The sequence below is a fragment of the Homo sapiens genome, chromosome 16, assembly GCF_000001405.40.
Source record: "Homo sapiens chromosome 16, GRCh38.p14 Primary Assembly".
NCBI lineage: Eukaryota > Metazoa > Chordata > Mammalia > Primates > Hominidae > Homo > Homo sapiens.
Window position 1 is genome coordinate 1610944 of NC_000016.10, and position 22516 is coordinate 1633459.

General features: G+C 53.1%; 2 protein-coding genes across 9 annotated transcripts in view, besides 11 other annotated features; one reads left to right on the forward strand and one right to left on the reverse strand.

Annotated features, from left to right (window-relative positions):
- Positions 1–1129, reverse strand: part of IFT140 (intraflagellar transport 140) — a 101646-nt gene extending 100517 nt beyond the window's left edge. For all 8 annotated transcript variants that reach the window (XM_047434970.1, NM_014714.4, XM_011522771.4 and 5 more), the window contains exon 1: positions 1025–1129. The gene's annotated coding sequence lies outside the window, so the exon portion shown is untranslated. The remainder of the gene's footprint in view (positions 1–1024) is intronic.
- Positions 864–923: an enhancer, noted in NCBI's record as "active region_10227". NCBI's record gives its function as "activates an Ori minimal core promoter by ATAC-STARR-seq in GM12878 lymphoblastoid cells {active_cell/tissue: GM12878}" and the evidence as "EXISTENCE:reporter gene assay evidence [ECO:0000049][PMID:35858748]".
- Positions 1074–1603: a silencer, noted in NCBI's record as "silent region_6992". NCBI's record gives its function as "represses an Ori minimal core promoter by ATAC-STARR-seq in GM12878 lymphoblastoid cells {active_cell/tissue: GM12878}" and the evidence as "EXISTENCE:reporter gene assay evidence [ECO:0000049][PMID:35858748]".
- Positions 1074–1812: a biological region, named in NCBI's record as "H3K27ac hESC enhancer GRCh37_chr16:1662256-1662756".
- Positions 1312–1812: an enhancer, noted in NCBI's record as "H3K27ac hESC enhancer chr16:1662256-1662756 (GRCh37/hg19 assembly coordinates)". NCBI's record gives its function as "activates a minimal SCP1, AML or CMV promoter by ChIP-STARR-seq in naive H9 embryonic stem cells {active_cell/tissue: H9 hESC(naive)}" and the evidence as "EXISTENCE:reporter gene assay evidence [ECO:0000049][PMID:30033119]".
- CRAMP1 (cramped chromatin regulator 1) overlaps positions 1417–22516 on the forward strand; it is a 65549-nt gene continuing 44449 nt past the window's right edge. The window contains exons 1-4 of the mRNA NM_020825.4: positions 1417–1714; positions 3696–4042; positions 15030–15223; positions 21269–21422. Coding sequence (NP_065876.3) covers positions 3697–4042; positions 15030–15223; positions 21269–21422 — 694 coding nt within the window. The 5' untranslated portion in view covers positions 1417–1714; position 3696. The remainder of the gene's footprint in view (positions 1715–3695; positions 4043–15029; positions 15224–21268; positions 21423–22516) is intronic.
- Positions 1624–1743: a silencer, noted in NCBI's record as "silent region_6993". NCBI's record gives its function as "represses an Ori minimal core promoter by ATAC-STARR-seq in GM12878 lymphoblastoid cells {active_cell/tissue: GM12878}" and the evidence as "EXISTENCE:reporter gene assay evidence [ECO:0000049][PMID:35858748]".
- Positions 1774–1933: a silencer, noted in NCBI's record as "silent region_6994". NCBI's record gives its function as "represses an Ori minimal core promoter by ATAC-STARR-seq in GM12878 lymphoblastoid cells {active_cell/tissue: GM12878}" and the evidence as "EXISTENCE:reporter gene assay evidence [ECO:0000049][PMID:35858748]".
- Positions 1774–2313: a biological region, named in NCBI's record as "H3K27ac hESC enhancer GRCh37_chr16:1662757-1663257".
- Positions 1813–2313: an enhancer, noted in NCBI's record as "H3K27ac hESC enhancer chr16:1662757-1663257 (GRCh37/hg19 assembly coordinates)". NCBI's record gives its function as "activates a minimal SCP1, AML or CMV promoter by ChIP-STARR-seq in naive H9 embryonic stem cells {active_cell/tissue: H9 hESC(naive)}" and the evidence as "EXISTENCE:reporter gene assay evidence [ECO:0000049][PMID:30033119]".
- Positions 9479–9558: an enhancer, noted in NCBI's record as "active region_10228". NCBI's record gives its function as "activates an Ori minimal core promoter by ATAC-STARR-seq in GM12878 lymphoblastoid cells {active_cell/tissue: GM12878}" and the evidence as "EXISTENCE:reporter gene assay evidence [ECO:0000049][PMID:35858748]".
- Positions 10985–11154: an enhancer, noted in NCBI's record as "active region_10229". NCBI's record gives its function as "activates an Ori minimal core promoter by ATAC-STARR-seq in GM12878 lymphoblastoid cells {active_cell/tissue: GM12878}" and the evidence as "EXISTENCE:reporter gene assay evidence [ECO:0000049][PMID:35858748]".
- Positions 11870–12019: an enhancer, noted in NCBI's record as "active region_10230". NCBI's record gives its function as "activates an Ori minimal core promoter by ATAC-STARR-seq in GM12878 lymphoblastoid cells {active_cell/tissue: GM12878}" and the evidence as "EXISTENCE:reporter gene assay evidence [ECO:0000049][PMID:35858748]".

The following is a 22516-nucleotide window of genomic DNA, read 5'->3' on the forward strand; positions in this document are numbered from 1 at the left end:
CACAGCCCCGATCAACCGCGGCATCCTCCCCTCCTGGGCGTGTTCCCTTCCCGTGCATCCCGAGGCGGAGCCTTTCCAGCACGCGGCGGTCTCGGCCCAGGCCTTCCCTGGGCTCCGCTTTTCTAGTTTCGGAGCGGAGGGCGTGGGTCAAGCGTTTCTGGGAAAGTCGATGCGCTCGGCAGTGTCCTGAGGTGTTGGGTGACTGAGGGCCTGTTCCATCGCCGGGCCCCGGACTCCACAGAGCCAAGCGAGGCAGGGAGCGCCCCCAAGAAAGCAGCTGGCGGCCGGACGCGGGGCTCGCGCTTGGGCTTCCAGCTCTTGGGGGCTGGGGCGGGCGGATCGTTGGAGCCCAGGAGTTCGAGACCAGCCTTGGCAACAAGGCGAGATCCTGTCTCTAAAAAATTACAAAAATTAGCCGGGCGCGGTGGCGCCTCTAGTCTCGGCTACAGGAGGCTGAGGGAGGAGAATCGCCTGAGCCCCGGGAGGCGGAGACTGCAGCGAGCCGAGATCGGGCCACTGCACTCCAGCCTGGGCGACAGAGCGAGTCAAAAAAAAAAAAAAAGAAAAGAAAAAGAAACACTGGAATTTGAGCCGGGCGCGGTGGCTCACGCCTGCAAACCCAGTACTTTGGGAGGCTGAGACGAGCGGATCACTTGAGGTCAGGAGTTCGAGACTAGCTTGGCCAACATGGTGAAACCCCGTATGTACTAAAAACACACAAATTAGCGAGTATGGTGGCGCGCGCCTGTAATTCCAACTACTCGGGAGGCTGAGGCAGGAGAATCGCTTGAACCTGGGAGGCGGAGCTTGCAGTGAGCCAAGATTGCGCCACTGCACTCCAGCCTGGGCGACAGAGCGAAACTCCGTCTCAAAAAAAAAAAAAAAGAAAGAAAGAAACACTGGAATTTGAAAAACACCCCTCTGCTTTCTTGCTATGAAGAAAATGACCAAGTGCCCAGCGCCGCTCGGCTACGCTAACGTAGCGCAGAAGCACATACTCCACCCAGGAAAGGGTGCGCTTAACTGCCTCAGACGTGCTTCCACACTTCTCAGAACTCAGGTTCGCGCCCGATTCCACACTCCGAGCTACCACGCCGTTTTCTTCTCACGTATCCGTCAACACTGCTGCGGCCAATCACAGCACGGGCCCTGGCCTATTGGCTGTCTGTCCACCAATCCAAAGAGACGCACAGTCCGCAAGGTCGCGAGGCTGGCGTCACAACACTACTGGCGCCGCGGGCTCGCCCCCGACGCCCACCGGGCTCGTACGTGCGAGCGCGCCCGCCCAGCGCTAGCCAATGGGAGCGCCGTTTTGGGGAGACGGGCCCGAAGAAACATTGGGGGTGCTCGCCCCCGCGTTCGTCGCCCCGCCCCGCGCGCCCGCGCACCCCGGCCCCGCCCCCGCGCGCCGTCCGTGAGGTCCCCACCGGCCGCCGTAGCCGGAACTGCTGCTGAGGGCGGCGGGCCGGCTTCGCTAGGGTGAGTGGCGGCAGTATCTGCGTCCGCAGCCCCCGCAGCCGCGCGCCGGCCCGCGGAGGGGACGTGCCGGGGCTAGCGCCGCTCGACCAGTCGCTTCCGAGGCGGACGACCAGCCCGGCGTTGCGGCCTCCCTGCAGCCGGCGCTCGGGGGCCGGGGCTGCCCGGCCCGGCTGGTTCTGCGGGCACCCGGGGAGGCCCCGGGAAGCCAGGCTGCCGCCCGGCGTTGATGAAAAAGGTGACCAAGGCTGGGCGGCGGGGCTGTCATGGCGAGGCCCGGCCGGGGGGTCCTGTCGGGCGGCGCGGGAGAGCGCGGGGGGGGCGTCGCTTCCACAGCGCCCGGTACAGCCACAACTGGCCTCAGGGCGAGGAGGCTTCTGCGTCCCCATCCCGAGACGCGAGCCGGTGCGGAGCGGGACGGGGCTGGAGGAGACTGCGCCTCCGAGAAAAGTCCGGTCTCGTTGGAGGTTCTCGCGAAAAGGAGGCCATCCCCCTGCTTGTTGGCCCTTAGGGTAAAGTCTGGACGGCGTCGGTCCTTTCAGTGGCGAAAAGCGCTTCCCCGTGCTCGGTCGGCGTCTTGGGTGTGGAGCCCGGCGAGCGGGCGAGTTCACTCTGGTGGCCGAGTTTGTTTTGCTTGGGTCCCGGGTGGCCTGCGGGCGGACAGGTCCCTGGGCAGCGGGGTTCTCAGCCCGAGACGAGGTCTTTGGGGGTTTAGGTTTCTTGAGTGGAAAGAGGTGGGTTGAGGGGGAAGAGTGGGAAGTCTTGCCACGAAATCCCTTAAGTTGGGGTGTTTGTCGTGGGTGGTTTTGTTCTTTGGCAGAGTTTTTTTTAAAACTAGCATGAACTCGAGATTCCCTAGACCAATTCCGACAGGAGAAAACGGCCACGGATCCTTGTGTGATCTGCACCTCAGGGTGGGGGCATCATTGCGACTTTGAAGCCATTTCCCGATCTCTCGGAAAGAGAGGTCCTCGCCCGCGTCCCTGTATTTCGTGGTTGGTGTTGGTGCCTCGATCGTGTGTTCCTTTGAAGTGGAAATGCCCCCGTTCTCAACAGTTGAGTTGAACGCAGGGTCAGTATCTGCTGAGGAATCTAATCTTCAGCGTTTTTGCTTCCTCACACGTGCCCGTCCCGGACTGTTTCTGGGCTGCAGCTCTTGCTGTGTACCTGATTGTCTGAGTTTATTTTTGAGTGGCTCTGCTTTCTGGGCTGCAGCATTTTTAGTCACTGCACTTTGTTGTTGACATTTTACAGGGCGGTGGGTAGCAAAGTTGATGCAATAATTTTATTAATTGTTGCCAAGAGTTTTAACACCATTGTCTTCTACCGCTTCTTGCACCTGGACCCGGACATAACTGGGCTGTCACTTTCCCGGGTGGTTCCAACCTGTTCCATGCAACAGGCTCCTTTGTTGCAAAAGCATTTTTAACTAGTAAATCCCCGCAGCAGCTCACATTTCCCACCCTGGGAAGAAGATTCCCAGAGACCCGGAGCTGATTATTCTTTATGTGTGTTTTAAAATAAGCAGGCGGGCCGGCGGCATTGGGCCACCATGGAGTTCCCCGTGCGGGCAGGCGAGCCCGCGCTTCTCCCGTCCCGGGGTGGATCCGGCCTCCTCTGTCCTCCTCCAGGGCCAGCTCTGGGGGCCGGCGCGTGGGGCAGGTGCGCGGGGCCCGGGAGCCCCGCGCCTTTCGGGGGGCGGGGAGGGGGTGGGACGAGGGGCTAGGGCTGGGGCTGCGGCCCGGCCGGCCGAGGCGGCGCAGGGAGCGAGGCCGGCGCGCAGGGCCAGGCCATGAGCCGCGGCCCCGCCGGGTAGGTGGCTGTGGGCGGGGCAGCGGCCCGGACCCGCAACCGTGCCCAGACCCGCGCCCGCGCCGGGGCTCCCATAGACCCCGGGGCCGGGGCCGGGGCCGGGGCCGGGCAGGGTCCGCCGAGCTGTCGCGCCCTCCCGCCGCCGGCCCGGGCGTCTGGACGCGAGCCTCGGCCAGGGGGCGTCCGGGGAGGCCCGGGAGGGTCCCGGGCTGGTGGGCAGGGCCGGGGGCGGCGGCGTGGGGGCGGCAGGGGCCGCGGCGGGCTCGGGCGGGCTCGGGCGGGCCGGGCCGAGCCGCCGAGAGGGGATTTGGAACAAACAACGGCGGCCATGTTGAGAGCGCGTCGGGGCCGCTAAACTTCCCGGCCTGCGCCCGCCTCACCGGCCGCCTCCCCTCTCCCGGCCGCAGGATGACAGTGAAGTTGGGCGACGGCGGCAGCGGGGAGGACGGGCTCAAGAAGCTGGGCAAGCGGGCGGCCGATGAGGAGTCCCTGGAAGGAGAAGGGGCCGGCGGCGCAGACGCGGCCGAGGAGAGCAGCGGCACAAAGAGGGACGAGAAGACCCCCCGGGCCGGCGCCGACGGCCCCCCCGCGCCCCCCGGCGCGCCGCAGGCGCCGTCCCCGCCGCAGGGCAGCCCCCAGGACCAGCACCACTTCCTCCGGTCCAGCGTGCGGCCGCAGAGCAAGAGGCCCAGGAAGGATCCTCCGAGCGCTGTGGGGAGCGGCAACGCCGGTGGCTCGGGGCCCCGCGGAAAAGGTAGGGCGGCCCGTCCCCTTGGGAGACCCCAGCCCCTCTCCGGGGTGTGCCGCGGGGGAGAGGAACCCCTCGCCCCAGCCGGGCTCCACCCTAGCTCACCCATCCCGCGGCCTACACTGAGGCTCTCAATTTGGGTGGCACTTATGGGGCATGTGTCCCCTCTCTCCTTCGAAGAGGCTGCGACTTTCTATATTTAAACTCTTTGAAGAGGCAGTGAGTATCCTTTTTTGGGGGGGAGTCGAAGAGATCCCTTAAAGCTGTTTCCTTTCCAAAGGATCACTGATGGTTTTCTATGGTTTTGTGTTTCAAACAGCGGACAATAGTTCGGAAACGGGAAGAGAAAAAAATACCTGCTGTATCTCTTTCCCAGACATCAGGCGGTGGAAATGCACCAAGGGAGCAGGCTTTTGAAACTCATTGGGGGGAAGATGGGTAAGAAGCGGAGAAAGGATCCTTGGGGTCTGACTTGGACCCATTGTCCTCTCCTTCAAGTGCTCCTGGGTTGAGAGTAGGAAGGGCATAGAGATGGGGCCCTTTGAGTTGCAACTGGGGTTTACTTCTGTGCCAAAGAAAGGAAAGAGTGGTGAAAACGATTGACATGAACAAGCAGCAGCTTGTAGTGTTCGCCCTTGTATTCTGAGGTGATGGAGAATGTTGCTACTTAGCTGGGGTCTCTTACCAAGATAGTAAGAAAACGGCATGTTAGTTTCGTTCTCCATGTGCCAGTGCTTCATTGTTGTCTGCTCTTATTTCTATTTCAGTCTTGTGCTTTTCCTTACGCAGGTGAATGACTCTGATTCTTTTTGTTTCCGACCATGTTCGCAGCACTTTGTATAAATAGCAAATATAACATCAGCTTCCAGTGAGTTTCACGTGAAAAAAAAATCTTTCACTTCCTTCCTTGGGAAATGCTCGTTTACATTTAGTGAATGGTCCTGGTAGTTTTGACAAGGAAATATATTACGAACTAATGGAGAACCTGCTTTGGAGATCTGTGCCACATGTGTTCCATTAAGCCCACTTCTCCTGCCGCATTCTCAACCGAAGAAGGCTGGCCTCCGGAATCATGGCCTTACTCATTGGTAAAGAATTCTGATATAAGTATACTTATTTAAAGATGTAAATAGAAGGTAACTTAGCATGTTTCAGAATTTAAAACTTGCCTCATATGAATTTATTTTGATGTGAAAGTTGCTGATCAATTTGGAAAACATGAGTGGCTTTGCTTGTTACTAGTTTTTTATTGCTAGTTACAGGTATGTCTAAGCTCATATAAGCTCCATGGTTCCTTCAAAGGTTTGTTGTTCATGGTTCAGAAGCCCTGGACCTTGAATCCAGCCGGCATTCGTCCCCCATGTCCCTGGCCTCCAACCTTGCTCTGCCCCTTCACCCTCTTGGAGATGCTTTTCTGTCGGGTGTCCTCACCTGTGAGGCAAGGAATGAGAGCAGCTACTTCACCCCGTTGAAGTGCGGCTGCTAAAATGAAATAGTGCATTGGTGTGAAAGCACTCTCAGACGTGTACGTGGCTACTTGTATGTATAAGTGAAGTGCTGCTGAGACGTTAGTGATCAGGTCAATTTTTGGCAGTTGGGACGAGGGGAGGCTTGCTTTTGTTTGTATAGTTGAGAGTGGCTTGCTAAGGTGCAGAAGGTTTCCTGAGCTTGGCTCACACTTAGGTTGCTGGCACTTCTTTCTTTGCTTCTTGTCCCATTGTGTGGCTTGGAGAAGCGTGGGACTTTTCATTAAGTTTTAATATTAATAAAATGCAAATTTATTAGAATTTGTGCTCCTCGTGACATATCCATTATCCCACTTTAGCAAGCAAATATATCTTTTTTTTTTTTTTGAGACTGAGTCTCACTCTGTCACCCAGGCTGGAGTGCAGTGGTGCGATCTCAGCTCATTGCAAGCTCTGCCTCCCAGGTTCACACCATTCTCTTGCCTCAGCCTCCCAGGTGGCTGGGACTACAGGCGCCTGCCACCACACCCAGCTAATTTTTTTTTTTTTTTGGTATTTTTAGTTGAGACGGGGTTTCACCGTGTTAGCCAGGATGGTCTCGATCTCCTGACCTTGTGATCCTCCCGCCTCAGCCCCCCAAAGTGCTGGGATTACAGGCATGAGCCACCGCTCCTGGCCACAAGCAAATATATCTTTAAGCAAATAATAAGCTAAGCTGTGATGGTGGCTTTTAGGAGAGGAGTAGGAAGTGGGTCTCCTTTGCATCACAGAACTTCTCGGCCACTGTCTGCCTTGGAGCTTCCCGGGAAGGAAGGCTGCCTGTCCGCTGCTCTCTGCTTTCAGGTTCCTCAGTGCTTTGGGAGGCACTTCACTGTGCCCAGGACATCCTCTGACACCAGTCTTTGGAGAGACCTCTGCTCAGTCGTTGCTTCCATTACCCGTCAGAAAAGAAGGCCAGGTGGTGGCAGTTGCCCCGCAACAGTCTTTAGCTCACCTTCCAGAAAGATGCTCAGAGGAGAATCCTCTTACATTCTGGAGAAATCTGCATCTGGAGTGGTGAGCATCTGTCAGGGAGGAAACGATCAATACTTCATGTTTCAATTTTTCACTTGGAAATGATGTAACTTCTATTATGCCTAAGGAATACTTAGCTCAATCACTGGCAGTTCCTTTGGTTGATTACTTACTGCCCTGGCCAGTTTCAATCTCAGTGGGCCTGAGACTCTTACAGTGAATTTGGAAGAAAGGACTTGTGGAGAAAAGGAAAGTCTGCTTGTTTGGCTTTTCTGCATGCAAGTGTGTTTTCTTTCTCTGAAGAAGACACTCTTATTGACTTCAATGAAAAATGCTTTTTTTTCTAGTTCAGTTTCAAATTTAAATCTTCTTGCATTGATAAAGCGATGGTAGCTGGGATTTAGTGCCTGTTTGCCAGGCATCTTGCATGTCTGTAATTTTGCTTTTAAATGAGTGCAGAACCTGAAGTAGATTGTTTAAGTCACATGCTCAACCTAAACTCAAGGTAAGCTGCAGACCAGAAATCCCAAAACAGACATTCCTGCAGCTCTAATACACCACCCACGTGACCCTGGGACGCACTGGAGATTTCGGCTTAGAGCCGCAGAAACCATCTGAAAGACATAAGTCAGGAGACAGAGTCCTGATACCTTTCCCTATTTGGCCAGTTCATGATCCAGCTAGCCCTGGGCAAACTAGTCCATCTTTTGGATAAAATAAACACCTGCCTCAGAATCGCTTGAACCCGGGAGGCGGAGGTTGCAGTGAGCCAAGATTGCGCCATTGCACTCCAGCCTGGGCAACAAGGGTGAGACTTAGTCTCTAAATAAATAAATAAATATAAAAATAAACACCTGCCTTAAGTCACAAGGTGTTTTACAGGCACCTGGTGTTTCTGCCATGAAAAATGCATGCAGCTTCAAGATTACAGGACTGCAGGAGGAGGCTGCACAGGCTGGCGGGGTGGGGAGCCTACCTGTGGGGTGAGTAGAAGTCCGGGAATGCTGGTGCTCTGCTGGGGCAGATGGGATGAGAGAACACTGGGGGTGGGGACAGAGAGCCTCTGCTTATTTTGGTCCCCCTCTCACCCCGAAGAACTTCAGTTCCATCAAGGATGGGGAAATGCACCATCTCCAGAATAGGGTAATGTAGTCTGAAGTGACAGTCGTTTGTGTGTAGGAATCGGTAAACGACTGTGCACAATTTACTCTTTATATTTTGTATAATCTGTGGACTGTTTGTAGTTTCTAGATGTTTCAAAAAGATGTCTCATAAGAGATTGTACCTGTAGTCCTAGCTACTCAGGAGGCTGAGGTGGGAGGATCACCTGAGGCTGCTGGTTGGAGGCTGCAGTGAGCTGTGGACATTGCACTCCAGCCTGGGTGACACAACAAGACCCTGTTTCAAAAACAAAACAAAACCAAAAAAGATAAAGTAGGTAAGGCAAAATTTGAACATTGGTTTGAAGGCTGAGCTGCTTTTCAAATACCTGTATACTTTTGGTATTAAAACTAGTTTCTGTGGTGTCTGTTGTTGTGAAGTTGTCTAATGAGGTAGACTTTTCGATTTTCATTTTTGTATCTTATTGTGGCTTATGTAAGGATATAACAGGGAGATGATTCATGATTGCAAAGTCAGAAATGTGAAAATTAACATCGTTGTATAAAGTGGTGTGTAGAAGCTCTTTGTCACATAAGTAACAACAGCGGGGTTTTGTTTTTTGTTTTTGTTTTGTTTTTGAGACGGAGTCTCATTCTGTCGCCTGGGCTTGAGTGCAGTGCTGCGATCTCAACTCACTGCAATCTCCGCCTCACAGGTTCAAGCAATTCTCCTGTCTCAGCCTCCTGAGGAGCTGGGACTACAGGCGCATGCTGCTACACCCGACTAATTTTTTTTATTTTAGTAGAGATGGGGTTTTACCGTATGGCCCAGGCTGGTCTCGAACTCCTGAGCTCAGGTGATCCGCCTGCCTCGGCCTCCCAAAGTGCTAGGATTTCAGGCGTGAGCCACTGCGCCCGGCACAACAGCGTTTTTAACACTAAAGAACCACGTTAGAAACACTGAAAAAAGGAGACATTTCCAGGAGTTTGTAGTTTAGTTGGGATATCTTGCAATACCTACAGGATACAATTAGAAAATCTGCTGGTATTTCATGAAGAGGGCATACGCTTTTATACAAACAGTGGAGTTCTAGTTGTATTTCTCTCAAATATTTGTAGGAGGGGAAAGGGAGAATCTTCAAGAGAGACAGCGCTGGTCAGAGCATGCAGGAGGACGCTGAGCCTTGCAGGCACTGAGGGTGGGAGTCCCGGCAGAGAAGGGGACAGTATGAGTGACTCCCAGAGGGTGTCGTGGAGACCATTAGGTTTTAGGTCAGCTTCAGAACCTGGAAGAGGACATCTCAGAGTCTGGCGACCCTGACCAGGGCTCTTGCAGGCACGCCTGGAGTGTGGACCAGATCTTTAGATTGATGGGACAATGCGAGGTCAGGAGGGGTCCCGGTTTGCTCACCGACTGCCTGTCGTATAGGATGGAGCGACACCACTGCGTGTGCATGACGATGGAGCTGGGTAGGGGAGGCTCAGAACTCATCCGAGATGACACCTTGCCTGCGGCTTGGCTTGCTTGAAGGGTCCCCCCATGTGACCTTGGAGATGGTATCCACCAAGCCCTCACCCACAACTCTGGCTCCAAGACCAGAGCTGCTGGCACCAGCATCTGATGCGATGTCTTGTGTTAGGAGAGGCACGGAATGCCTCAGGAGACTTGGAGGTGGACGCGTTGGACCTCTGCAGTTTCTGCGCCATCCTTGGCCTCCTGGGAAGGGTCCCTGCTGTCTTATGCTGCAGACGTAGGCCATGAGGACGTTTCCCGGTGCTGGGGTTGGGGCACGGTCAAGTCTGGAGATGCCCTTCCACGAGCGGGTGTCGCCAGTGCCTTTCTAGCTGAGAAATGAGTGAAGCATGGGGGAGACGGGTGTGTTCACTGCAGTCCTCTCACCTCCAGACCAGACGCTGACTCCCTCGCAGTTGGTGTTCTGTCACTCTTGATTTTACTATTCCTAACCCTCTGAAGGAAGTTCACCAAACCACAGAAAGAGTGCTCCAGGACAGTGAATTGATGTTAGAGATGATGACAGGGTGTCACTGGGCTTCTGCGTCTGACCTCTCACGTCCAGACAGACATCTTCCAAAGGCCCAGCTCTGGCTGTCTATTAGCCGCGTGCCTTTCGGTGAGTCATTTAACTTCTCACCTTTCCCAGGCTGAGGGAGGGACTTTGAGGTTGGTTTCCCCCACCACGACCCTGATCCTCCAGCTCTGTGACAGGACAGTGTGCGCTGCTTGGCTTTCAGAGCTGTTCTGACGGCACGGCATGGGAAACGCCTGGGTTTGGAGTGAGAAGGTTGCGTGGTTCTTGCTGCCTGGTGACTTCGGGGCTTCTAAAGCCTCAGTTTCCCCCATTTCATTTTTTTTTTTACATGACATAATGCTATTAATAATTTCTGAAAGTTTCCCCATTTCTAAAATGGAGATAACTACCCATTGCGAGGACAGGAAGAAGCAGGGCATTTGAATGCATTTTAAGGTGCCATTTAAATACAGGTTCTGTTACTTCCAGGCCTGCTGGGCACTGAGCAGCTGTGTGGCTTTGTGGGTGACCTACTCAGCCCGTGCCTCAGCTTCCCCAGTTGAAAGATATGGATACTTTTTCTTCTTAAGGTGATATGAAGGGGTGCAGGTGGTGGCATTCCAGACCAACCCAGGACATGTGATGGGGAAGAGGACGTGTTGCAAAGAATAGGTGGTAGGGCCTGTCTGGAGCTAGGTAGAGGGGCCAGCAGCTGGGAGGGTGCGCTGGGGCCACATGGCTGTGCCCTCACTGCACCGTCTGCACAGCAGGCTGTGGCAGGTGCTAGGGGTTTGGGAGACCTGAGAAGAGGCTGTTGAAATTGTCTTACTTGGGCGGCAGAGAGCTGGCTTGGGAAACAGGCGGTGCGGATGGGAAGGGGAAAGCAGGTGGCAGTGTGGCCTCTGGAGAACTGTGGCGCTGACACGGGCTAAGCAGGAAGGTGGGTTCCATTTGGGAGGACCTGGGTCCCAGCAGCCTGGGGTGTGCTGTCTGGGGCTGCCGAGGGGCAGAGGGAGCTTGGGGAGGCCCTTTATCTAGGCTCCGTGGGACCCTGTGCTGTCACTGAGCACTTGCTGTGTGTGAGGCCTGGGACCAGGCTTGGGTGTGGGGAAGTTCCACACGGTTCTTGCTTTCAAAGAGTGCACTGTTGGCGATCCTGCTTCTGCACCCCACTTCCCTGCAGGCTTCTCGATGGTTCTCCTCATTGTGCAGACCACACTCAGCCTCTGTGGGCTCAGCAACAGTCACAGATGGACCTGGCTTTGGCCTTCTGCTTTTCGCTGGGTGTCCTGCACCCAGAGAAGCCCACCTAGTTTTGTTTACATCATCTTACCTTTCCGTCTCTTGCCTTTCTCCTCCCATTTTTCTTGTTGCTTCTCTGTCTTCCCCTTCAGTCATCACCTTCTGTTTTCATCTGAATTTCTCTGAGCTGAGTCAGGTGGCCTCACACAGGCTGTCATCGTATTCTACCAGGTGTCTCTGGTCCCACTTTCTATTTCATTTCGCTTGAGCTGTACTCAGTGAGCCGAGGTCAAGCAGTGAAGCCACTTCTGCATCTGAAATTTTAGGGGTGAACCAGAGGCCACCTTCAGTTTCTGCTCTGAAGTTTGTGATTGTTTTTTAAAAAGCATTCCAAGTTTAGGCCGGGCGCAGTGGCCCATGCCTGTAACCCTAGCACTTTGAGAGGCTGAGGCGGGAGGATTATCTGAGTTCAGGAGCTCGTGACCAGCCTGAGCAACATGGTGAAACCCCGTCTCTACTAAAGTACAAAAAAATTAGCCATTGTGGTGGTGTGCACCCATAATCCCAGCTACTCGAGAGGCTGGGTGCCGGAATTGACTGCCTGGGAGGCAGAGCTTGCAGTAAGCCAGGATTGCACCACTGCACTCCAGCCTGGGTGACAGAGCAAGACTCCTTACACAACAGCAACCAAAAAAGCACTCCAAGTCTAGAATAATGGGCACCAAATATTAGAAAAGGTTACTTGGGGCGATTTGCTTTCTTGTCTGTTTTTTGGGGTTTTCTGTCTGTTTTGTTTTGTAGAGACAAGGTCTCCCTGTGTGGCCCAGGCTGGTCTTGAACTCATGGACTCAAGCAGTCTTCCTACCTCAGCCACCCAAGTAGCTGGGACTGCAGGTGTGTGCCACCACGCCCGGCAGTCTACTTTTTTTTTTTTTTTTTTTCTTTTTTGAGACAGTCTCTCACTCTGTCACCCAGGCTGGAGTGCAGTGGCTAGATCTCAGCTCACTGCAACCTCTGCCTCCCGGTTTCAAGTGATTCTTCTGTCTCAGTATCTGGAGTAGCTGGGACTACTGGTGCACGCCACCACATGGGGCTAATTTTGTATATTTAGTAGAGACAGGGTTTCACCACATTGGCCAGACTGATCTCGAATTCCTGACCTCAAGAGATCCGCCTGCCTCGGCCTCCCAAAGTAGCTGTGATTACAGGCGCCCACCACCACGCCCGGTTAATTTTTGTATTTTTAGTAGAGACAGGGTTTCACCATGTTGTCCAGGCTTGTCTTGAACTCCCAACCTCAGGCCTGCCTTCTTTTCTGAATGTTCATCTTGCTTTACTTTCCTCTACTGAGGATGTGTCATTTTTAAAACATCAGAAGGAAAGGGTGAACCCCTCACACCCAGCCTTGGGCTGCTGGGAGGTGGCCTGCTCCTCTGAGGAGTGAGTGCCGCTTCACCAGCCTCATCAGAGCTGCCTTTACTGTTGTGCCTTCTTTTCACATCTCCTGTGTGCCTTTGCCTCCTCTCCACCTCTGAGAGCCCGTCCAGCTCAGACACTCCATTCTGTTAGCCTTTACTGTTTCACTCTCCTTGTCTTGGATCACCAGTGCTGTGATCCACTAAGATTTAGCAAGACATGTGGATTATGGAATTTTAGGAAATTTATGTCTGTTACTTTTTCAAATATACCTAATGCCAACATGGGCTAGCAAAAATAAACCTGATACGTAACGGCAGGGCTGGTTAGCAAGTTGTGGTCTTGGAAGATGATAGTTTAGCGAGTGTTTCTTAGGAACCTGAAAATGGCTCTGAAAGCCTTTGTTGTGGGTGGTGCAGAGGTGGACAGGCAGTCCTTGCTGAAGTGACTCCACGTGAGGAATCCAGGCTCCTAGTGAGCCAGAGTGCCCTGTATTGAAAAGTTAAGTTTCAAATGGCATCTGTACCTGTCCATCATCTGCGGAAGCACCAGGTTCTGGGGAACCACCTGGTTGATTAAGTCCAGGTTTGGTGAGGAATGGGCAGGGCCAGATAACATGTCAGGCATTTGATTAGCCTGGTTGGTAGCACAGAGCATATGCATACCTGAGTTTTGTTTCTGTTGTCTGTGCAGGCTGGGAATGGAGCAGCCGGAAAGCGGCCTGGGTGGGACACACTTGGAACTCATTGTTTATTCCATGCCAGTGTGTTTTGGGCTGTGAGTGCTGGACATTCAGGTGCAGCACCGTCTGGTAGCTCTCTCTGCAACGATGGCCGCATGTGGACATTGACTACTAGAAATGGGGCTGGCGTGACTGAGAGGCTGAGTTTTTTTTTTTTCTTTTTTAAGTTCTTTTTTTTTTTAAGCCTGAGTCTCACTCTGTTGCCCAGACTGGTGTGCAATGGCACGATCTCTGCTCACTGCAACCTCCACCTCCAAATTTGGAGACAGACCCCCCACCGGGTGAGGCACTGAGCCTCTAGCCTGCGTGTGGCTGCCCAGGCAGGGCCCCCTTCTGGGTCGATGAAGAAGCAGATCTGGATGGAAAAGCCTGTGATTATCTCATTAGGAAATCATTTTTACAATAATCTACATTTGCTTGGCTTTTGCTTTTTTTTTTTTTGGAGACAGGGTCTCGCTCTGCCATCCAGGCTGGAGTGCAGTGGTGCGATCTCGGCTCACTGCAACCTCCACTACCTGGGTTCAAGCAATTCAGTTCTCCTGCCTCAGTCTCCCAAGTAGCTAGGACTACAGGCGTGCACCACCACACCTGGCTAATTTTTTCTTTTTTAGACGCAGTCTTGCTCTGTAGCCAGGCTGGAGTGCAGTGGCGCGATCTCGGCTCACTGCAACCACTGCCTCCCAGGTTCAAACGATTCTCCTGCCTCAGCCCCTCCCGAGTAGCTGGGACTACAGGCGTGTGCCACCATGCCCAGCTAATATTTTTTGTGTTTTTAGTAGAGACGGGGTTTCACAATGTTGGCCAGGTTGGTCTCGATCTCTTGACCTCGTGATCTGCCCACCTCAGCCTCCCACAGTGCTGGGATGACAGGCGTGAGCCACTGCACCTGGCCACGCCTGGCTAATTTTTATATTTTTAGTGGAGATGGGATTTCATCATGTTGCGCATGCTGGTCTCGAACTTTTGGCCTCAAGTGATCCACCCGCCTCAGCCTCCCAAAGTGCTGGGATTACAGGAGTGAGCCACCACGCCTAGCCAGTTTTTGATTTTTAAAGCATTTTTGTTTCAGAGTTTGAAGGTTTCCCAGCTTTTTATGGTCCTGCAGTTCCATAAAAAGAGAACCCTGGTTATCACAGGGATATGCTGACAGTTCCCGCTCCCTCTGCGAGGAGGAACTGAAATGGGTGGGAGGAATGTGTTAGGCCATGAAAAGTTTTTATCTGTGGTCTTTTGACTCCTGCCACATCTCTGCCTCCGGTCTCGGAGGAGCCTGGCCAGGGTTCTCGGTCCACAGCTGGGGAATGAAGCCTCCTCGGGGTCGTCTTGGGCTTTTCCCTCCTTGGTCTCAGAGGACTTGGCATGAGATTGGGAACTGATGCTATAATAGGATTTGCAAGGTTATCAGGTCATTCTCAGAACACTACGTTTTTTTGGTGGACATTGATTGAGGGTAAGGAATTTTAAGACTAAAGATTCTTAGGCGTTGGACAGTTCATATTCTGAAGCACTGATTTTATCTAAAAGAAGGTGGTGTTTTACACGTTTGTTTCCTTGAGTTTGAATCTCAACCTACTTATTTGAAAAGATGTTAAGAATATTTAACCAAAAACCTCATTTACAAAAGAAATACGCATGAAATGTGATGTGAGGCTTCATTTTGCAGAGGGAAGGGATCTCTGTCTCCATTGTGGACAGGGCGTCTTAGGCTGCAGCGTCATTGTGCTGTTACATGGTTCCACATAAAATCTTGCTCCTTTTCTAACTGTAAAAACATTTGAGGGTCATTTGGCCAGGTAAAGATCCTGGCAGTCCTAAGCAGCCTCGCTGGTGCCGTGGGTCCTGGGTGCTGCCTGCCAGCATCCTCGGTTGAGGAGTGTGGAGTGGGACCTCAGGGCAGTGGGCCCTTCCCTCCCACCGGCCCTCTACCCTGCCCAGCCCGCCAGCTTTCTGGAACAGATCACTGTACGGTGCTTTCTCTCCAAGGAGCTGAAGGTGGTGGATCATCGTCTGGAAATGTGTCTGGGGTTGCCCCTGCTGCCCCTGCAGGGGGCTCGCGCTCCTCCTCCCGGAACTTAGGGTCTTCTGGTGGCGAGAAGGAAGAAGGCAAAAAGGTCCGGCGGCAGTGGGAGTCGTGGAGCACAGAGGACAAGAACACCTTCTTCGAGGGGCTGTACGAGGTGAGTAGGCTGTGGAGGCACGGCCAGGCAGCCTGGGCGTCCCTCTCGGATCCCTGCCCTCCGTTCCCCGTGCTTCCTCTTTGCTGTTAGATTCTAGAACGCAGATTCCTGGGCGACCCCCGCAGTGGCGGAGGCTGATGTGGGCTCTAGCCTTGCCCACTGACCTTGGCTGTTTTATCTCCTCATTGAGATTTTAGAAGCTAGTACTGGTGAGGTGTCTGTGAGGAGGTGTTTTTGTGTGTTTCCTTCATTTCCTTTTGGATATTCTCACCCCTTGTCTCTCAAAGATGTTCTTGACTGAAGGCCCTCTTGTTTCAGGGCTTTCCCTTTGTGCTGAGTGGGCTGATTTAGGCGGGATGGCCTCTTGAGGGGAGGCACAAGGCGGTGCTTGTCTCGGGGGTCAGTGTAGCTGAGAAACCTCACGAGATGTTGCTGCTGACTTGGGACAAAATGGAAAGTCCTAAAAATAGAGAGAAGCCACTCCCTGACCCCACCGCCCAGTGAATGCCCGTGCTCCCTGCTGGCCAGTTTCACCTGCATTATTGTTTTCTAAATCCTTGTAATTATTGTGAGCATACTTTTTAATTAACATTGCTTGCATTTTTCACGGTGTTTCATAGCTCTTTTGCTCTGTATTTTTTTTTAACGCCTGTAAATATTCTCCTTGCCTGTGTGCTCACTGTGTGCTTTTGTAAAAACATCATATTGGAGCACAGCCATGGCCAGGGTCGATGTACTGTCTGCGGCTGATGCCACTGCAGTGGCATAGTTGAAGAGCTGCACCAGACAGGGTGGCCCTTGAGGCCCTGGCCAGCCACTGCTCTGCTTGGCCATTCCTGTGTGGTCAAGGATGACTGAGATCCTTCCAGATTCTGTTGTCGTAAGTAACGCTGTGGTGAACATCGGTGTGCACGCTTCATACTTTAGACTGCTTCTTTGGCATACAGTATTAGAATTAGGTTCGTGATCGGTGAGCCTTGTTCTTTTTTTTTTTTTGGAGATGGAATCTCACTCTGTTGCCCAGGCTGGAGCGCAGTGGTGCAATCTGGGCTCACTGCAACCCCCGCCTCCTTGGTTCAAGCAATTCTCGTGCCTCAGCCTCCTGAGTAACTGAGACTATAGGCACACGCCGCCACACCCAGCTAATTTTTTGTATTTTAGTTGAGACGGAGTTTCACCGTGTTGCCTGGGCTGGTCTCGAACTCCTGAGCTCAGGCAATCTGCCCACTTTGGCCTCCCAGGAGCCTTGTTCTTTTAATAGCTAATTAATTGGGGTGATGGAGAAGTCTTGTCAAGCCTGGGAAGCAGAATGCTCAAGAAAGAAATGGAGGCTCTGGAATGAGATGTTTAGAGAGGCATTAGAAAAGGAGACACTCGTAAATGTGGGCATGAGACTTGAGTACGGTGCATGCTGTGGCCAGGGTCGCTCCCGCCCTGGGCTGCAGGTTAGGTTCTGCCCACCCCAGGTGGACCGGACTGCCGTGGCAGTGTGGCTTGATTCTGATTGTCCAAAGAGAAGTGTGCATGAGTCCCATTGCAGTAGATATGAAGCCATTTAAACACATTCGTGTGTTCCTTTTCTTCCCTTGGAGGGTTCTAGAGTACAGCAAGGAGGCTGGTTTTGTGTAGATTCAAGCCCCAAATCGTGCCTTTAAGCTGTTTGTTGGTCTTGGAGGACCTGCGATTCCTGGAATGTTTTCAGAATCAGCAACCATTGCTGATTTTTGCCTGAAACAATTACTCCTGTGGTGTGGCCCTTCCTCCTTGGCAAGACTGTAGCCTCTGCAAGAGGGTCTGGGTGCCTGGGAGCAGGAGATGTGGTTGTCCATTAAAGGTAGCAGAGGAGGAGTTCCTTGTTAATGATCCACCCTTTACCCTTATTCAAGCAGTTCAGTTCGTGTCCTTCCCATTGGGTTAAGCTGCTCATTAGAGTTTTTCTATCGGGTAGATGCTTTTTGAGGATTCTGAAATCCTGAATTAGTAATAATAATTAATAGTTGGCTGTTCTGATCATGTAATGCTTTCTGCTGTGGGTTCTCTGTATCTGAGTTTGTATATGAGAAAGAGCGAGGGCAAGAGAAAGGACTTTTTGTTTGTTTGTTTTGAAACGGAGTTTCGCTCTTGTTGCTCAGGCTGGAGCGCAGTGGCACGATCTTGGCTAAATGCAGCCTCCACCTCCTGGGTTAAAGCGATTCTCCTGCTTCAGCCTCCTGAGTAGCTGGGATCACAGGTGCCCGCCACCACACCCGGCTAATTTTTGTATTTTTATTACAGACCGAGTTTCGCCACGTTGGTCAGGCTGGTCTTGAACTCCTGACCTCGGGTGATCCACCTGCCCCAGCCTCCTGAAGTGCTGGGATTACAGGCATGAGTCACCGCACCTGGCCTAACACGTTTCATTTCTGCATTGTGTGTCTCATCAAAACTAGGTGGCCTTCTGGTGGGGTCTTGATGTGTGGCTGACTGGCCGGTGGCAGGTGTGACTGTGAACCCTCAAGCTGTGGGGTGACGGTGACTGGGCACAGGCCTCTGCTCTGAGAAGTGCGGCTTCTGCCATGTTGTCATGGCCACCGCTGCCTTTTTGATGCCTCCCTGGGAGGGGTGCAGCAAGGCTGGCTGGGGCCTGATTGGATGCAGGGACCCCACCGCCATCACTGGGCCTCAGTTGGTCACTCCTGATCATGGGCTGAATTCTCTCCTGCTTCAGCTGCTCCTCAGGCGAGAGTGCTGCCCCTGCACACCCTACTTTGGGCAGTGCTGGGCATGCTCAGATTCGCGCCCGTCCAGTTATGGCCCGTCCAGACTTCTCCCTCTGGCAGGGCGGGCATTCACCTGTGGCAGGGCACTCGCCTCCTTCCTCTGAATACCCTTCCATTTCTGTGGCAGGTCTGCACAGACCCAGCCCTGACTTCATTTCAAGTTCCTGTTCCTGCTTATATCCGTCCATCATCCATGCTTGTTTTTGCCATACAGTTCTTGATTTCCTACCTGACAGCCACACAGCCAGCGTCCTGTGCTTCCTTCTCCCTCTCTGCATAATGGCTGCGGCCTCAGCTCTGGCCTCTGTGCTTCGCAGTGTTCCCCTTCTCTGTCCCCACCTAGGCCCTCCCTGTCTCTGCACAGGCAGCCGGGGGCATCCTCAGCCTGTTACCATCTCCACAGCTCTGTGGACGCTGCAGGTTTCTATCTCTTCACCCCAGACAGCTCTCTCAGACTTTCAGCCCTGCCCATCTTTTGTTCTCATTGCCGTTACCGTGTGTATATCTGGTTCTTGACTCAGGACAGAGCACTCTCGCCACACTGAGAATACAGAAAAGCTTCTGTCTGGTGGGGCTTGCTGCCTTGGAGACACACGGCAGGCGCGACACAGATGCCCTGGGACTTTAGGAGGCAGCAGAGGTTAAGAACACGTGAGCAGGAGGCCTGGAACTCAGGTTCTCAGGGAACCTCTTGAGTAGACGACCCCGCAGTGACATGCAGAGGCCGTCAAGTTGCTTCATCGTGGTTCTTGCCGAGGCCCAGGGAGCGTGGGGAGGGCTGGGCCTGCCTGGACCTTGCAGGAAGGCCTTTCACGTGCTGCTTCGCCTCTTTATGCTTTATCTGCCATTCCTTTTGAAAACAATGAACACGTTTTACTTTTTCTAAAGTTTTTAATTTTTCATTTCATTTTTGCACCCAGACTGGGGTGCCAGCCTTCCAGCCCCACCCGCCAGCCCACAGCAGCTTCTGTCTTCACCTCCCTCAGCCCCTGTGTTGCTGGGAGTTACAGATCCTAAAATGTGTCAGTGTGTCAAGCACAATGCCACCTCCCCTCTGGCCCCTCCAGGTCACCTCACGGTCCCCCAGCTGCCAAGAGTCTTCTGAGGTGGACAGGGTTGGGGGCCAGCACCCCAGCAGTCCCCAGGTTCTCATTTCCCTGAGGATCTTGCTCCCCAGTTACTACCCCTTACCCCCCATCAGCATGTTTTTTATTTTTTTGATTTAAAAAACATCTTTTTTTGAGAGTCAGTCTTGCTTTGTCACCTAGGCTGGAGTGCAGGGCTGCCATCTTAGTTCACTACAACCTTGACCTCCTGGGCTCAAGTGACGATCCTCCTGCCTCAGCCTCCCACGTAGCTAGGACTACAGGCATGTGCCACCATGCCTGGCTAATTTTTAAGTTTTTTGTGGAGATGGGGTTTCACTATGTTGCTCAAACTGGTCTCAAACTCCTGGGCTCAAGCAATTCTCTCACCTCAGCCTCCTAAAGTGCTGGGATTACAGGCACGAGCCACCACCTGGCTCCCTTAACTTTTTGTTTTGAAATGTTTCAGACTTTTTAAAAGTTGCAAAAACAGCACAAAGCAGGTCCCCTCCACCCTGCCTCCACAGCATTAGGGCAGCCGCACTGTGAGGGTATGAGCACAGACATGGCCCTGCCTGCTCATTTGCAGGCGGTATTCAGATTAACAAGGGTCCCACTCAGGTCCATCCTGGCCAGGACGCTGCGCCGCACTCGGCTGCCCAAACTCCTCAGTCTCTTGTAACCTGGGACAGCTCCTGGGTTTTTGTTTTTTGTTTGCATGTTTTTTTGTCGTTGATGACCTCAACACTTGTGGAGACTCACAGCATGTTGGTTTGTAGAATGTCCCTTGTGTCAGTTTGGGTTGATCTGCAGTTTCCTCATGATTCTATGTTACGCATTTCTGTCAAGAATTCCACAGCAGTGATACCGTGTCCTTCTTGGCGCATCCAGTTGGCGGCCCGTGGTGTTCTTTCTGTCTCCGTCCTGGTGGTGTTTGCCTTGGTCGCTGCCCTCAGGCAGCGTCTGCCAGGTCTCACCGTGGCTGGGTCATGGCTTGGCTTTGAGGCTGTGTAAATACCGTGTTTCTCATCATTCTTTGCTCCCACTGATTTCAGCAGCCATCGCTGCCTTTTCCCTGAAGCAGTTGTTACTGTGCTGTTTGCTCCCAGTGAGGACCTTCTGTTTCCTTTATTCTTTCTGTGTTTGCTGATTGGAAGTCCTGTGCCAAGAAGAGCCCTGCGTTCTCCCCCACACGTGCAGTTATTCTGTTACCTACACCCATGTAGACTCACAGATGTTGGCTTTATTCTGGGGGTCATGGTCCACCATGCCATTGTCGGCTTTCTCGCCCCGTTGGTTCCCCATTTGGCCACTGGGGAGCCTCATGCTGGCTCCTGCATCCTCTTCTCACGTCCCCATCGCCTGCCAGTGTATTCTCGTGTGCTGGTGCCGTCAGGCATTCCAGACTCAGTGGCTGCTTGCTGCTCTGCAGTTGGCTGTTTTTCCTGGGAGCCCAGCTTCCCTTTGCAAAGTGGTATTTAGAAACCAAGACCTGGGCGCTAAGGATGCTGGTTACTGCTGAGCCCTTCCAGTACTTAGGAGCTTGGCTTTGATGAGATGATCGAACACTAGGTTCTCTATGGCAGTGCCTGAAGCAGCACTGAGGTGAGGCTGTTCTGTGGAACACAAGTTCTCTTCTGAAAATCTAAGTCACACTCAGCTTTTGCAAAGAAGCGTTCCAAGAAGGGTTGGCCTCCACGTATAATCAGAGTATAGTCTGTGCGGTTCACTTACTAAATGCTCACGTTTGCTGTCCTCGTTTGAATATGGAATATATTTTGTCAGATTAAAGCAGTGAGGATGTTTCTGATCTGTTCTTTAAGATGCCATAACTGCTTCTCTTCCAGAGCTTTTCTTCATGGAGGTGTCTCATTTCATTATCTGTGAAGAACTCTAGCAATTAAGGCATTTGTCCAAGTGATGAGCTTTATGTTTCTCCTGTCTGGGGTGCTTGCCTCTTTGGTATCCATGTGCTCTGATGGTTCTGTTCCTGGTTCCATTGCTCCTTTATCCTGATTAAAACCTAAGGTTCCAGGGAGTCGAAGTTCAAGTTCATACACAGATAAGAGCTTGGAAGGGCTGCTTGTTTGACTACAGCCTGTCTCCTTTCTCCTTTCTCGGAACCTTGGAAAGGGTCCAGTTAACACAGAAAGCTGCATTGTTTTAACCCCTCTACATTTATCATGGAATTTATTTTCCAGCATGGGAAAGACTTTGAAGCGATTCAGAACAACATTGCGCTGAAGTACAAGAAGAAAGGCAAGCCAGCAAGCATGGTGAAGAACAAGGAGCAGGTCCGCCACTTCTACTACCGCACCTGGCACAAGATCACCAAGTACATCGACTTTGATCATGGTGAGTGTGCCACGGGCCAGGCTCGGGGGTGCCCACAGGCAGGGCCGGCTTCTGCTCAGAGCGCAGCTTCCAGCAAGCCCGCCGGACCTGCTTTCTGGCATTTTCTCACCAGCCGCTTGGCCTGGGGCTCCTCGCCTTGCAGCGCTTTGGCTGATTGTGTGCTGTCTAACTCGGTCAAACCAAGTTGCCAGGAAGTGGCCCGTATCCCATGCTCCAGGGTTCTTACCACTGCTTTTCTGAGCTATGGTTTGTGTGTTTCCAGTGGCTCTGAGTGTGCGTGAGTTCTGGGTCCCTGGCTCACCTGAAGCCTGTGGTCTCCACTGCAAATGATAGCACCATGGTCCAGCGAGGGGCTTGGGCCGCAGGCACCGTGCCTGGCGCTGGTCTTCCTGGGGGACGGCCAGCCTTCCCAGGCCTCTCGCCCTCTACACTGGGACCCAGGTCTGCGTCGGCCCTCGTTCAGTCACGGGACCAAGTCATCCCCAGGTAGAATTCTGGCTTCTGGCTCAGAGCACCCTTTGGCTACTGGTGGCTTCTCCGGATGATGCTTTGTCCATCACCATCTCTGTCCTTGGGAGTCTTAGCTGCCTCCTGCCTCCGCCTATGAGAACTACCTCTCCAGCAGCGCACCTGTGCTGGGCCCTGCTCTTCATTCCTGTAGCTTCACACACAGCTTGGTCCTTCCAGATGTACCCCCAGAGCACCCCTCTGCCTTCTGAGCCTTCTTTCAGATGTCTCACATTCTGACCCAGGGTACCTGGACTGTGGCCACACTGCCACTCTTTGTGCCCTTGCCTGTGCCTCGTGGTGACCTAAAGTCCTTCGCCTTGGCCATTCCTGTGGTGTCCTCTGGGTGGGTTATGGCATCTTGACCATGGTGCATCAGCTTTGCCCGGAGCTTTGGGAAGAGCCAGGACCCAGCTCCCCTGTGTGACTGGGCAGAGCCCTGAGGGCCGCAGACACCCCCTGCCCACCACGCAGCTAGCTTCTCCACTGAAGAACCTCCACTGGGAGATTGTCACCGTTTCTGGAGATCCATGGAAACGGCTGTTGGTCTCTGCACATTAGGGGTACCCCTTGATTCGGGTCTGCCG